The sequence below is a fragment of the Homo sapiens genome, chromosome 12, assembly GCF_000001405.40.
Source record: "Homo sapiens chromosome 12, GRCh38.p14 Primary Assembly".
Taxonomy (NCBI): domain Eukaryota; kingdom Metazoa; phylum Chordata; class Mammalia; order Primates; family Hominidae; genus Homo; species Homo sapiens.
Genome location: NC_000012.12, coordinates 51,748,644 through 51,762,223, shown reverse-complemented (window position 1 = coordinate 51,762,223; position 13,580 = coordinate 51,748,644). Strand labels below are relative to the sequence as shown.

Genomic DNA, 13,580 nt, shown 5'->3' with positions numbered 1-13,580 from the left:
AAGCAATGGCAATACTACACCAGGCAACTCCTTTCAAAGGGTCAGCAGTCATTTTGAATGTATATAATACTTGTGATGTTTGCTTAAAAAAATCACTCGCGTTATGATTAGAAAAATAAAGTATTAATGCTAATTTGACATTATATCTTACCAAACCCAGACATTTGCCACAAGGTGTAAAAGCATACAATATTGCCAAAATGTGCAAAATATAGGAAATAATATCTATAATCTCACCACCTTGCATACAACTATCATTTTCATGTATTTTCTTTCTGTTTTTTTTTTCAAATACACAGGTATTTTGACAGAGTTGGAAAATCATAGAATACATAATATCTTGGGTCTGATTTTTCACTTATCATTAAGTCTATCCATGTTGCTACACGGTTCTCCCAACTCTCACTCTTACTGCCTGTATAAAATTCTACTGGCGGCTGGGGATGATGGCTCACTCCTGTAATCCCAAAACTTCTGGTGGTCGAGGCAGGCAGATCACTTGAGTCCAGGAGTTTGAGACCAGCCTGGACAACATGGTGAAAACCCATCTCTACAAAAAATACAAAAATTAGTTGGGCGTGGTGGTGGGCGCCTATGGTACCAGGGACCAGGAGGCTGAGGTGAGAGAATCACTTGAGCCCGGGAGGCAGAGGTTGCAGTGAGCCAACCTGGAGGGCAGTGGATCATGCCACTGCACTCCAGCACAGGCGACACAGCAAGCCCTATCAAATAAATAAATAATAATAAATAAATAATAATAAATAAATAAATAAATAAATAGTGAATAAAATTCTATTGGGTAAATACATCCTCAAAGAATTTTCCTATTGTTGGAGACTTCGGTGCTTCCTTTTAATTTTTTTCAATAGGATAATCAATGACATAATAAATGTTTTAGATTTGTAGCTTATTGTGTGTAAAAATGACATCTTCCCTATGTTACCCATCTCCCATTTTTCTGCTGACAGAGTGCCTGCACTTCCCGATGACTTCCATATCCTGCAGGCATTAGGAGGTGATATGCAGGATGAAAGTCAAATCCCATGAATGCCGGTTTTGACAAAACCAATACCTTCATTCTAGGCTAACCATATAACAACAGACTCTTATTGAATATTATGTTTTTAGAGGAGAGGACTTATTTTTACAATAGATTTAAAACTGTCATAATATATTAGTACTTGTAACTACCTGTTTACCAAGTTTCCACATGAAACAGTTTAAGGAAAACTGAAGATATAGTCTGAGAACAAAATTAAAAATAGTAAAAAATACTTAGATTATAGATGCTGTTTGGAAATATACTGAATTAATAAACAGCAATAAAAAAACAGAATGATGACTAAAATACATCAAAATGGATAAGTGGCCTATAGGTTTTCGGTGTTCATATGCTTTTCTGTAGTTCCTCATGTTTCTAGATTGAAGATGCAATATTCTAAAATTGAAAAAAAAATTCCACAAAGAGATCCAGTTAAGTAAAATCAAAGTTCATAATACAAGTTAAGCATCTATAGATGGAACATCCCTCTGAGTGAGTTCAGGGAAAGTACAGACAGCTCATCAAATCCTGACATACATTTCACCCTTAGTGTAAACCCATCGGAGGTTTCTCCACATAGAAATGCTAGCCTGCCTAACACACACTAAGTAGAGACTTGATTTGTTATCCCACTGGTTCCTGGTAAACACACAGGAAGTGCTCATGAAGAAGCACTGGCTGATTGACCATGGAATATCTATACTGTGGGAACTCTGGTTCCTAAGGGAAATCAACAATGACATAGTTATGTGGTGTTGCCTATCACCAGGATGAATGGCCCCAGGCATTAGAAATTGTCTGTGACAGAGGTCAGCCACCATGTTGCTTCAACACATGGTATGTTGCCATCAGTTGGGTGTGTGTCAAAATACACCTATAACTATTAGCTGTGTGAAGGAATTGCTTTTTTAAAAATTGAGAAGAGCAGATTTAAGGTTATCCTATGATGCTCTTGTTTGCACTGTGATATGCTTCTCAAAGAGGAGAAAGGGAAGAATTACATGCAGTGTATCAGCAATTATATATAAGTGTCTGCTATGGTTTGAATGTGTCCCCCAAAGTTCATGTATTAAAACTTAATCCCCAATGCAACACTGTTGGGCAGCAAGGTCTGATAAGAGGTGATTAGGTCATGTGAGGACTCTGCCATCATGAGTGGACTGATGTTATTGCAGGAGTGGGCTGGTTATCTCAATAGTGGGCTTTGTGATAAAAGCAAGTTTGGCCCTCTCTTGCTCTCTCACTGTTAGCTTCTTCTGCCCTTTGGCCTTCTACCATGGGATGATGTAGCACAAAGGTCTTCACCAGGTACTGGCACCATGCCCTTGTACTTTTCAGTCTCTAGAAATGTCAGCCAAATAAATTTCTGTCTGTTATAAATTACCCAGTCTATGGTACTCTGTTGTGGTAACATTACTTAGACAGTGTTGTTCTCCTGAATGTCATCAAATATTCACTTTAGAATTTATGTTCTTATGCAGCAGTTCTCAAAGGGTAGTTGAGGATCCTTAGAGTCCCTAAGGCCCTCTCAGGAAGCACATGGTCCGCTCTTTTCCAACTTCAGAAGTACCCCCCATCTGTGGTTTTGCTTTCTGCAGTTGCAGTTAGCTACCATCAACTACAGTCCAAAAATATTAAATAAAAAATTCTAGAAAAACAATTCATAAGTTTTAAATTGCATACTGTTCTGAGTAGCATGATGAACTCTTGAGCTGTCCTGCTCTATCCTCCCAGGATGTGAATCATCCCTTTGTCCAGTGTATCCATGCTGTATAAACTACTTGCCCTTTAGCCACTTAGCAGCCATCTTGGTTATCAGATTCACAAAACCCAGTATGGTCATGCATTGCTTAATGATAGGGATAATGTGTTGTTGGCAATTTAGTCATTGTGTAAACATTAAAGAGTGTACTTACACAAACCTAGGCCTTATATATATATTTTCATTTATATATATATATTTTTTAATATGGAAAACCAAATGTCCCAGCACCTTTACTTAACATCAATCATTTCTCTTACTTGACCTGCAAGGCCAATATCAAATGGCATATAACAAGTTTTTATATATGTTCCATTATAATCTTATGGTATCACTGTCAGACATGCAGTCTGTCATTGACCAAAATGTTGTTATGTGGTACGTGGCTGTACATATACACACACGTATATATATATATACACACACACACACACATATACATACATACATGTATGTGTATATGTGTGTGTATGTGTGTGTGTATGGCTTGGTACTATCTGAGGTTTCAGGCATCCACTGGGGGCCTTGGAATGTATCCCCCTTGGATAAGAGAGGACTACTGTACATATCTGTGTGAGGCAAGCTTTTCTTCCTATACTTTAGCTAAAATAACATATCACAACAGACTGAATGTAGAAACAGAAAAAGAGAATCTAACTACCTTCTATTAAACCAGACATGAGGCCAGGCACGGTGGCTCACGCCTATAATCCCAGCACTTTGGAATGCCCAGGTGGGTGGATCACTTGAGGTCAGGAGTTCAAGACCAGCCTGGCCAACATGGTGAAACTCCATCTCTACTAAAAATACAAAAATTAGCCAGGCATGGTGGCGGGCACCTATAATCCCAGCTATTCTGGAGGCTGAGGCAGAAGAATCGCTTGAACCTGGGAGACGGAGGTTGCAGTGAGCCGAGATTGTGCCACTGCACTCCAGCCTGGGCGACAGAGTGAGACTCTGCCTCAAAAAACAAAACAAACAAACAAACAAACAAACCAGACATTAAAGAGACTTGCAAAATGTCGAACAATGCCATTCTTCCAGTTTTTCTTAAAAAATATAGTTTCCCCACACCAATATGTTATTTATGTTCATGTGTGATAGGTGTATTATTGTGATATTTATTTTACAGATAGGGTGTTGCTATGTTGTCCAGGATAGTCTTGAATTCTTGAGCTCAAGTGATCCTCCCATCTCAGCATCCTGAGTAGCTGGGATTATAGGGATGAGCTGCATGTCTGGTTAATTTTTTTATTTTTGTAGAGATGGGGTCTCGCTATGTTCTAGCCAGGCTAGAAAGCAATGGCTATTCACAGCCGTGTTCCTGGAGCACTTCGGCATCAAATTCCTGGCCTCAAGCCATGCTCCTGCCTCAGCCTCCCAAGTAGCTGGGACTCACCTAGCTATATTATTGTAATTCTTTAATTACAAAATGAATGTTTAGAAATTTTCTCAGTTTTAATTTCAAACATGATAAATATCAATAGACATAGCACTTTTATTTAAGAGTATAAAGGAGTCCTGATCTCCTCAGAATATTCTATAAAACAATGGTTCTCTATTCTCTATAAAATACTCTGAATTCACAGTCATCATATCTTTCTAGTTTGGGTTTTGTTGTGTTTTGTTTTTTGAGATAGGGTCTTGCTCTGTCACCCAGGCTGGAATGTAGTGGCATGATCATAGCTCACTGCAGCTTTGAAATTCTAGGCTCAAGTAATCCTCTCACCTCGGCCTCCCAAAGAGCTGGGATGACAGGCATGAGCCATGCCTAGTCTAGTTTGGACTAGCCTGTGGTCATATGCCTGATAACTTGTAATGCCAGGTCAACAAGTAAGGCCTATATAGTCCTAAGATTGGGGTATATTTCACTTTGGCGTCACTATGGGGTCTGGGGAGAAGTCACACACCTCCTTCAGCCCTCATTGCATTTGCAGAAAAAATTCAGCCTTATTTGAAAGTGACGAGCGTCTGGCATGCTCCTCTCTTTGTGCTCAGAAAAGGGCTTGTCAGCTCCTGTTCTGCAGTAGATCCTCGCCCAAAGTTAATCAAGTTCAATTTGATTAAAAGTTCTATGTGTACTGCAATGGAGACATGAAAAAAAAAATGTGACCATGAAAAATAATGGTTCCTTACGAACTCAGTCGCCAGAATGTAAGTAACTCATCCTGGTTTGCCACTTTTCACACCGAAAGTCCTGCATCCTGCATCTCCAGTTAGGGTGATCAACTCGTACCTGTTGACAAGGACTGTCCCAGTTTTAAAACTGCAAGGGCTTCCTCAGGCCTCTGCAAATTAAGGTGGTTGGTTACCCAACCAGGAGGGGACAGAACAATAACTAAAAATCATGTGACAAGTATTTAAAAAGAAGTATCCATATGGGGCTATAGAAGCACAGATGAAAGAAAAAATCTGAAAAGAATTCTTTTTAGCTGAAAATCTAGGTAACCTATAATTAAGAAATGATAACATTCATTTATGTTTGGTGAAGGAGGAAAATAACTTTCTGCTTTTTTGCTTTTGCTTAGAATCTGAGAACTTAAACTTATATGTCAGATTAAACCCTAGCTCTTCTTTCCATCCCCTTCCTCCTGAACCACTCAGTCCTGAAGGCTGTAGGTGGGCATGCCGGTAGAGGGAGGCTGCTGCCCAGTGCTGGAACCCCAGGAAGGGCACGGCCCAGCAAGGAGAGTCAGACATGGAGGGGAGCGAGGAGGTCCATGCAGGGCAGCAGGCTGGCATGGGCTGTCTGAGCCTGTGGGCCAAGGAGAGGCATCCGCTTTGGGCAACAGTCTAGGATGGGCAGTTGGAAGTGGTATGAGGCGTGGCTACCCCACATAGGTGTTGAGGCCCAAGTGTGGTGGGAGGACGTCCACACTTGAGGGGGTGGGGGACTTAGCAGAGAGAGTCAGAGCTTAAGTAAGGTAAAGATAGCATCTCCAGGAGAAGATCCCGGAGTGGGCTGAGGAGGGACTCCCTGCAGGGGAAGACTCACAAGGGGTGCCAGAGCCAGGTGAGCTGATGAGGGACTCATGTAGGGGAAGGCCTGATGTGGGGTGTCAGATCCCGAGTGGGGTGAGGAAAGTGTCCAAACAGGGAGGTGGACAGTGAGGGTGTGAGAGCTCATCAGGGTGAGGAGGATGTCGCCTAGTTTGGGATAAAGTCAATGGGCCAGGTGAGAACTTCCAGGAGTGTTCACACAGACAGATGGCAGCATGAGCAGGGTGACGAGGGGTGGCCTGGTGAGGGGTGTTAAGAGTCTGTGCAGGATAAACAGAGCTTCTATGTCAGGGGAGAGTCTGGTGTGGGGTGAGAAGGATGTCCATGCAGGCGAAGGCCTACTGTGAGGCATCGGGGTCTAAGCAGGGTGGGGCAAACCATGTGTGAGTTGGACTGGTGTGGGTTCCAAGCTGAGGAGTGTGAGCAGGTGTCCACATGGAGGACACGGCTCGGGTGCTGAAGGGGTGGGGGGCACCCAGAGCCTATACAGGGTGAGGAGGGTACCCATGCTATAAAAGGTAACAGTGGCTTTTTGATCAAATAAGTATACCAAAGATAGTGGCAACGAGGTTTCTTATTGTTGCAGGAGTTACAAATACAGAAAGGGAGAAAACTAGAAAGAATCTTGAAGTGTTGGATTAGAATTGGAAGTGACAGGATCAACTCATGGTTTGCAATATCCACGGCTAGCTCAATATAAATAGCTCATCATGTCCTAAGAGGGGCTGCATGCTGCTCCCATAGCAATATGCATACCTAGATCTCAGATCTCCACCTCTTCCTTTTTTTTTAGTTTTCTATTTTGTTTTAGAGATGGGGTCTCATTGTGTTGCTAAGGCTGGTCTCAAACTTTAAGCGATCCTCCTGCCTCAGCTGATACTCAGCCTAGATCTCTACTTCTAAATGCCATTTTTCCACTAAAAGACTCAGGGCTTCTTGAGAAATGGCTGATTCCAGCCCTGGGGCTGGAAAAACACGAAAGTATCCTGGAATACCTTGTGGTACCAGAAAGCCAGGAAGTGAAGAAGACATGTGAAAGGGATCAGAAGCCAGCTTGAAGGAATTTCCACTGGCCACATCAGAGGAAGTCTAAACATCAAATGGATTGTAACTCAGATAAAATAGAAAACCATTAATCCATACTGATATAAATAAAGGAAGAAATCAAAATCTGAATGAACAGGAAATTTAAATCGTTTCAAATGGTCTTCCTCACAAATACCTATTAAGTATACAGTAAGTCCTCACTTAATGTCCTCAATAGGTTCTTGAAAACAGCAACTTTAAGCCACATGATGTACTATATGCCATAGGAACTTAACTCTTGTTTATATCAACTGGCCTATGGTAAAACTGGTTTTGTTATACAGTATATCATTTAGCTTAAAGTCACAGTTTCCAAAAATCTAGAACCTATAGAGGATGTTAAGTGGGGACTTACTGTAAATGGAAAAAGCGTAACTTCACAGATGAAAAGCCTGGCAGACACCTCCTTAATCAAGTGATTAAATGAACGTCACCAGTAGTGGGACAAATGGAAGCTACATGCCAACTGGTAGATACAACGTGAAGAAGATAGTCTCACTTATCTGATATTCCTACCAAAATGCAGAACCTGCATCTAATCATAAGGAAGCATCAGACAAGCCCACATTGAGGGAATTCTACATAACAAATGACCTGTAGTCTTCAAAATGTCAAGACATGAAAGTCAAGGAAAGACTGAGGAACTCCTCCAGGCTGAAGAAAATTAGAGAGATATGATAGCTACATGTAATGGGGTAATCCTAAAACTGCATCCTTTTGTTACAGAGGATACCACTGGGATCACTGGCAAAACTTGAATAGGGCCTGAGAATTAGACCCTTAACTTAACTCACAATCAGGGCTATAGGAAAAGCCTCACATTCCAACCACAGGACAAGGTCATACTTTACTTCACAACATTGTAATGTATCAATGTTAATTTCCTGGTTTTGACAGTTATACTATGGTTATGTAGGAGAATGTACTTGTGTATAAAAAATACACACTATAAGCATTTGGGGGTGATAAGGCTATGTGATAAGGCTTTTATTGTAAAAAAAAAAAAAAAAGAAGTTTTTTGTACTGTACTTGAAACTTTCCTGTAAGATTCAGAATGTTTAAAAAGTCACCTCATAAACTTACTATTGTATTCAGTTAGTTGCAAAAAAGGCAGGAAAAGAATCATTACATTTATCTACTACATAACATAGAGGCTGTATAAGTCACACAGCTTCCCTGGGCTTCAATTTCCTCTATAAAACATGTGGATTGGATTGAATTATCTCTAAGGTTCTTCCTACTATTATTTTCTCTTTTGGGGAGGGTAGAAGAGGCAGGGATCTTCAATTTGCAGAAGACTGTTCTCATCTTTCTTTAAAAACATCTTTCTGTATGTCTACAGACAAAGACAACTTAACTCACAATTAGGGCTATAGGAAAAGCCTCACATTCCAACCACAGGACAAGGTCATACTTTATTTCACAAGTCAGTCTCATTTTTTTTCCATCCTCTTATTCTCAGGTTCAGTCAAAGCCTCTACCCAATTCTCCAAATCTTTGAAAATTCTCCTATTGAATTATACTAACACAGTTCCTAAGATTTATAAGATACTTTTAGCTATCCCAAAGACTTCCATATAGGTTCTCATTTTATCTTCCCAACCAGTGATGGCATGGTATTATCTTAACTTTACAGATGTGAAACATTTCTGGACAGAAATCAATGACTTATTTAAGGTTATACGATATCTAATAGGAATGAAAACCCAAATCTTCTGACTTCCAATTCTGTGTTCTTTCTGCCAATCTCAGCGCTCGTGTTGATTGGCAACAAAGTATATCTTTGAGTTTCTGGTATTGTCCAGAAAACACTCATGAGGTCCAGCACGTACCCAACTTCCTTATTTGGCATCTCCACTCAGTGAATAGACACTTAATATGTCCAAAACAGAACTCTTGATTTTATACGTCAAGCCAGTTCCTTTGCAGTCATTCCACTTTTCCCTCAGTTATTAAACCCCCACATCGAGGCACCATTCTTGATTTCTTTCCTTTTACCCTCACATCTAGTACAAAGTATGCTGGACTATATACTAAGCTCCCTCCCCACTGCTAATTGTACATTTACTTGCCGTTTGAAAACCCTTGCCACCTAAGAGCTTTCTTATTCTAGAACTTGGTTCTGGGTTGGCTTGTCTCATGGAGTTCCTGAATATTAGCTGTTGACCTTCTCTTATTTCCTCTTTTTTTACTGATGGTTCTGAGCAAAGTCTTCTGCATACTTACAATTCTAATTTAGATGTCATCCTAAATCTCTAAATTTTCATGAAAGGAAAAATAACATTATTTGCTAGCCTGGTCTGACTGGAGTTCTAGTGGGGATAGGTGAAAAAGCCTCTCAAAATCCCTTGAAAATCAAAGACTGGTTCTGTAAAAAGTAAGGAAAAGTAAAGATTTTGAGAAAAACAAAACTCTACAGGGAAAACAGAACCACCAACATCAACAATAAAAATTATCAAGACATATTTCTTGTTACTTAACTCTTGGCTACTAAAATCAAGCTTATATCTAAATGATATTGTTGACAGGGTTAAAATTCTGCTTGATGGCCAAGGTACTGTGTCAGCCAGTCACAGCATGTGCCCACTGACAGGCACCTTTCAGAGCCAGTCAGCAGACTTCTTGGACAGTCTGTGGGAGTGTCCCATTTCAAGACTCCGGGCATTCCACTGGACTGCACACAAGGGTTTACATCATTGCAGAGAGCCTGGAGCATGTCACCAACCACAGACATGGAGACTGGAAAGATCACAGAATCATCTTGGATGTATACCAGGGAACACAATGGGCTACAAAGGATCTCTTTGCCATGTGTTTTGAGAATGAGAAATGAAAATGATATTGTAGTGCTCTAATAGTATAGTAATAGGACTTAAGGTCAAAACTGTGTGGTGTGTGGTGTGTGTGTGTGTGTGAGAGAGGGAGAGAGAGAGTGAGAGAGCACACATAAGAGAAACTGGGCAGAAATCATGCTCAAATCATTAATAAACGGTAATAGCCAGATTTGGACATGCCTGTGGTTAACACCTAAGGAATTAGGGGGCCCAGGTGACCTAGGGGATTCTTTCTCACTAATTCTTTACTATCTATCAAAATTCAATTAACTCCTGATTTTTGTAGTAAACAAAGCACATAATCCTCAAATCACAGCTACTTAATTTCAGAATACACACTTTGTAATCTATTTTTTTTAAAACTACATACTTTAATGGCCTAGAAGTTGGATTGGAGGGGGAAACCAGCCTTGAGTGAAAACTTTCCCATAAATAGTCCCCATTTAGGTAATTAAGGCCTGACAGAGCAGGCAAATCCATAGTTACATGTAGTGTACTATAAGAGCTCCCCTATTTTGTGGTAGATGTTACTTAAGGTGAAAGGGGAACTGATTTGCTGGAGCAATGCAGGAATCAATGTGAGAAACAGAATGAGGAAAAAAACCAGAAGTACTTGGCTCAGGCTGCTGAAACCAACCCACTGTACCAGGCCTCCCATTCTGTCGCCAACATTGGTTTTCTGCCAATAGCTCCTAAATGACGTCTTCAAAGTTCTGCAGAAAGAGGAAAGGGATCACAACAGTGAGCAGAAAAGCAGCTGGTGTCCTGGCATATGTGGAAGCATTTGTCTTCCAATTAACTATTACTTTCTTTTCAAAGAAACTCCAGCTTTCAGTACCAGAAAAAGATATCCTACAGGCAAAACACATTCCAATCCTAATATCGGGAGACAGTGTTCCATCTTACCAGATTTCCTACAGCCAAGACATGTTCAAATTGTGGTGTCATAGGATGGTGCTCCATTGCCATAAACAGTGTATTCAGGACGATGCAGATGGTGATGGCTAAATCCACAAAAGGGTCCATAACTATCAAGTTCACAATCTCTTTCAGTTTTATCCAGTAGGGGTGGCACTCCCAGATGAGGAAAGTGTTGGCAAATTTATACCAGCATGGCGGGCACTTTCTCTGAGACTCTTCCAGTTCTACAGTAAGTAAGAACAAAGATGGCCCCTCAATCACAGCAAGAAAACCAGGGGGACACACTACTCACTCTCAGTCATTATCACTGTTATTAATATGGAATCAAGGTTGTTTTGAGCGCTGACATTCCTAAGTGTTTTCCTTCTCTCTAAGGTAGAGAGGAAGCATGATCCACACAAGTTGCCTCCCTGTTAATAATGATCTAGTTATAAATGAAACTCAACCCATCAGTTATGGGAGTCGAGCACAGAGGTCAAGAGCTTGGCCTCTCAGGTCTGACTCCCTGGCCTCAACTGGCTTGAATGCTTACAAGTTGTGTGATCCCAGGCAAGGTAGCTGATTTCTCTGCTCAGCTGCCTCAGCTGTAAAACAAGGCATTTACTTTACAGGTTACAGGACTGAATGAGTTTGACTAAATTAGATGCTGGTGTAAAGCAGTCACTATAGTATCTGGCACAGGGTAAATCCTCAATAAATGGTAGGTATTCTATTATACACTATATTATTCAATTATTGTCAGAGAAGCCATCAAAAGTATGGACTCAAGCCAGACATATTTGAGTTCAAATACTAGCTCAGACACTTGCTAACTGTGGGACCGTGAACAAGTTACTTTGATTTGCTGTGAGAATTAAAGAGCTAAAATATATACAAAGTGCCCCAGAATACCCTGGCAGATAGAAAGTGCCATGGAAGTGTTTGCTATTATTATTATCTTCATTAGCAGGACCAGCATCATCGACCAAGCCACCATGTAAAACACATCTGCTATGTTCTCAAAGAAGTACAAGTTACTGTCTCCACCCTTAACAAGTTTACAGCTCATGGTTGAGTTAGAAATACAAGTCACACTCCTCTCCCCTTTTCACCTTTCCTTCCTTGTTCTGTCTCCTCCTGTCTCCTTCTTTCTTGCCCCTTTGCCCTTTCCTGCTCTCATCCTTTGCTTTTCTCTTTCTTTCTACAGCTTCTTCCTCCTTCCCTCCCTGGGTCATCATCTTCTTTCCTTTTTCTTTCTCTCCTTTGTCTTATCTTCTCCGTCTCTTTTAGAAACAGAAAGTGTTATTGTCAAACAAGATCTCACATGACCCCCAATACATGAAATACACCAGGAATTTCCCTAGATGAAGCAGGAGCCCACTTGGATAGATTTCTTCCTCTCCTGAGGCACTCCCCTAGAATCCCAGGACTCTGATACACACAGACTGAAAAATCACTGGACTAGACGATCTCAAAGGTCATTTCCAAAGCAAAGATTCAAAAGAATTATCAGATATCAAAGACAGACACTCAACTGGCAGTTACAACAATCTAGGTATGAAGCCCTACATAACAAAGCTCTCCTCAAATTAAGCATGAAATACAACTGCCAGGATTACAAAATTCCAAGGACCCTGAGCTAAGAGGATGCTTTTTAAGAGGTGAACTTTGAAAACCTGTCAGAATGTGAGGTATTGATTCTACAGGGTTGGCTGTAACAGCTACTCTCTCTCTGTTCAATTCTGCTGACACTATCAAATCATTTAAGGAAAAAAAAAATTCCCTAACATTTCACCAAAACCAAGATGGCTGCCTTAAATTAGCCTACGTTCCCTTTTCCAACCAGCTGGATGGCGATGCTTTATTTTAGACAAGGTGGTTTTGGCTGAGTTTCTGATTGGTTCCCTGGTTGCTAAGAAAATGGTTGCCTTGGTTTTTCAGATTTAAGGACCCCTGTAAGCGCCACGTGGGAGGCTGCGTGGGAAAGGAAGTCTGTGAGGAAAATCTGCTGTGGCTTCTTCCTCAGAGAACTCCCTCCCTTCCTAAGGTAAATATAGTTTTCTCCCCCAAAAAAGAAAATGACAAGGTTCTCTTATTTCCATAAATTCTTACAGTACATATTTGGAAATTTAGTTCCGTTCCCTTTTTTATCTCCTCCCTTCTCCAAACGACTGTTGCTCATTGGCACGTGGAGGTTGAAGCTGCGACTGCTCACATTTATGACAGTTGACACAATTGTAATGTTTTAAAATGAACTAGGTCTTGAGTCTTGCCACACAGCAAAAAGGGGTTTTCCTGCCCTACAGGGCACCAAGAAAATTCCTCTAGGGATACCAGACATCTCTTAGCCACATTTACTGAGAAGGGAAGATCCTCAGGATAAACTTTCACGCCTACAAAAAGTAAGACAATGTGGAGCTTCAGGAGCTAGAAAAGATCATTTGGGGAATAAGAAGGCTTATCAAGTGACTTATGACTTTGCAAACTGTTACTGGTTCCACATGCCTGGAATGGCCCAGTATTTGGCTTGGGGGAATGGGTTAACATCTAGGGGTGAGATGTCCAAAGGTTTGTGGGGTTTCTCTTACTTTGCTTTTGGACATTTTCAGAGAGGTTACTTTGGGTCTTAACCTCAGGGGTACTGGGAATTGTTTTCAGAAAGGACCTCACAATTTCACCAAGATAGTGGCTTTGGTAGACCATGAGGTTTCTGAAGGCAGGAGCTTCCCTCAACTCAGTTCAACAACTTTTAAGCATCTGCAATGTGCTAGGCACCAAGGATACACTGATGAAGAGCCCCCACCCTCACTAAGGTTACTGCCACACAGGAAAGGCTGATATCAGCCAAGTAACTATACTGACACTTGATGCTGGTCAGTTAAATAAAAGAATACATAAATAGTGGCAGCAATAGCTATGGCCAGTTACCTCTAGGGGAGTTTTTGGAATTGTTTTA

The 13,580-nt window shown here is 40.9% G+C and overlaps 1 protein-coding gene across 4 annotated transcripts in view; it reads right to left on the bottom strand.

The window, feature by feature from the left end:
• SCN8A (sodium voltage-gated channel alpha subunit 8) overlaps window positions 1–13,580 on the bottom strand; it is a 221,632-nt gene that overhangs the window by 50,641 nt on the left and 157,411 nt on the right. For all 4 annotated transcript variants that reach the window (NM_014191.4, NM_001177984.3, NM_001330260.2 and 1 more), the window contains exon 14: window positions 10,631–10,869. In NM_014191.4, coding sequence (NP_055006.1) covers window positions 10,631–10,869 — 239 coding nt within the window. The remainder of the gene's footprint in view (window positions 1–10,630; window positions 10,870–13,580) is intronic.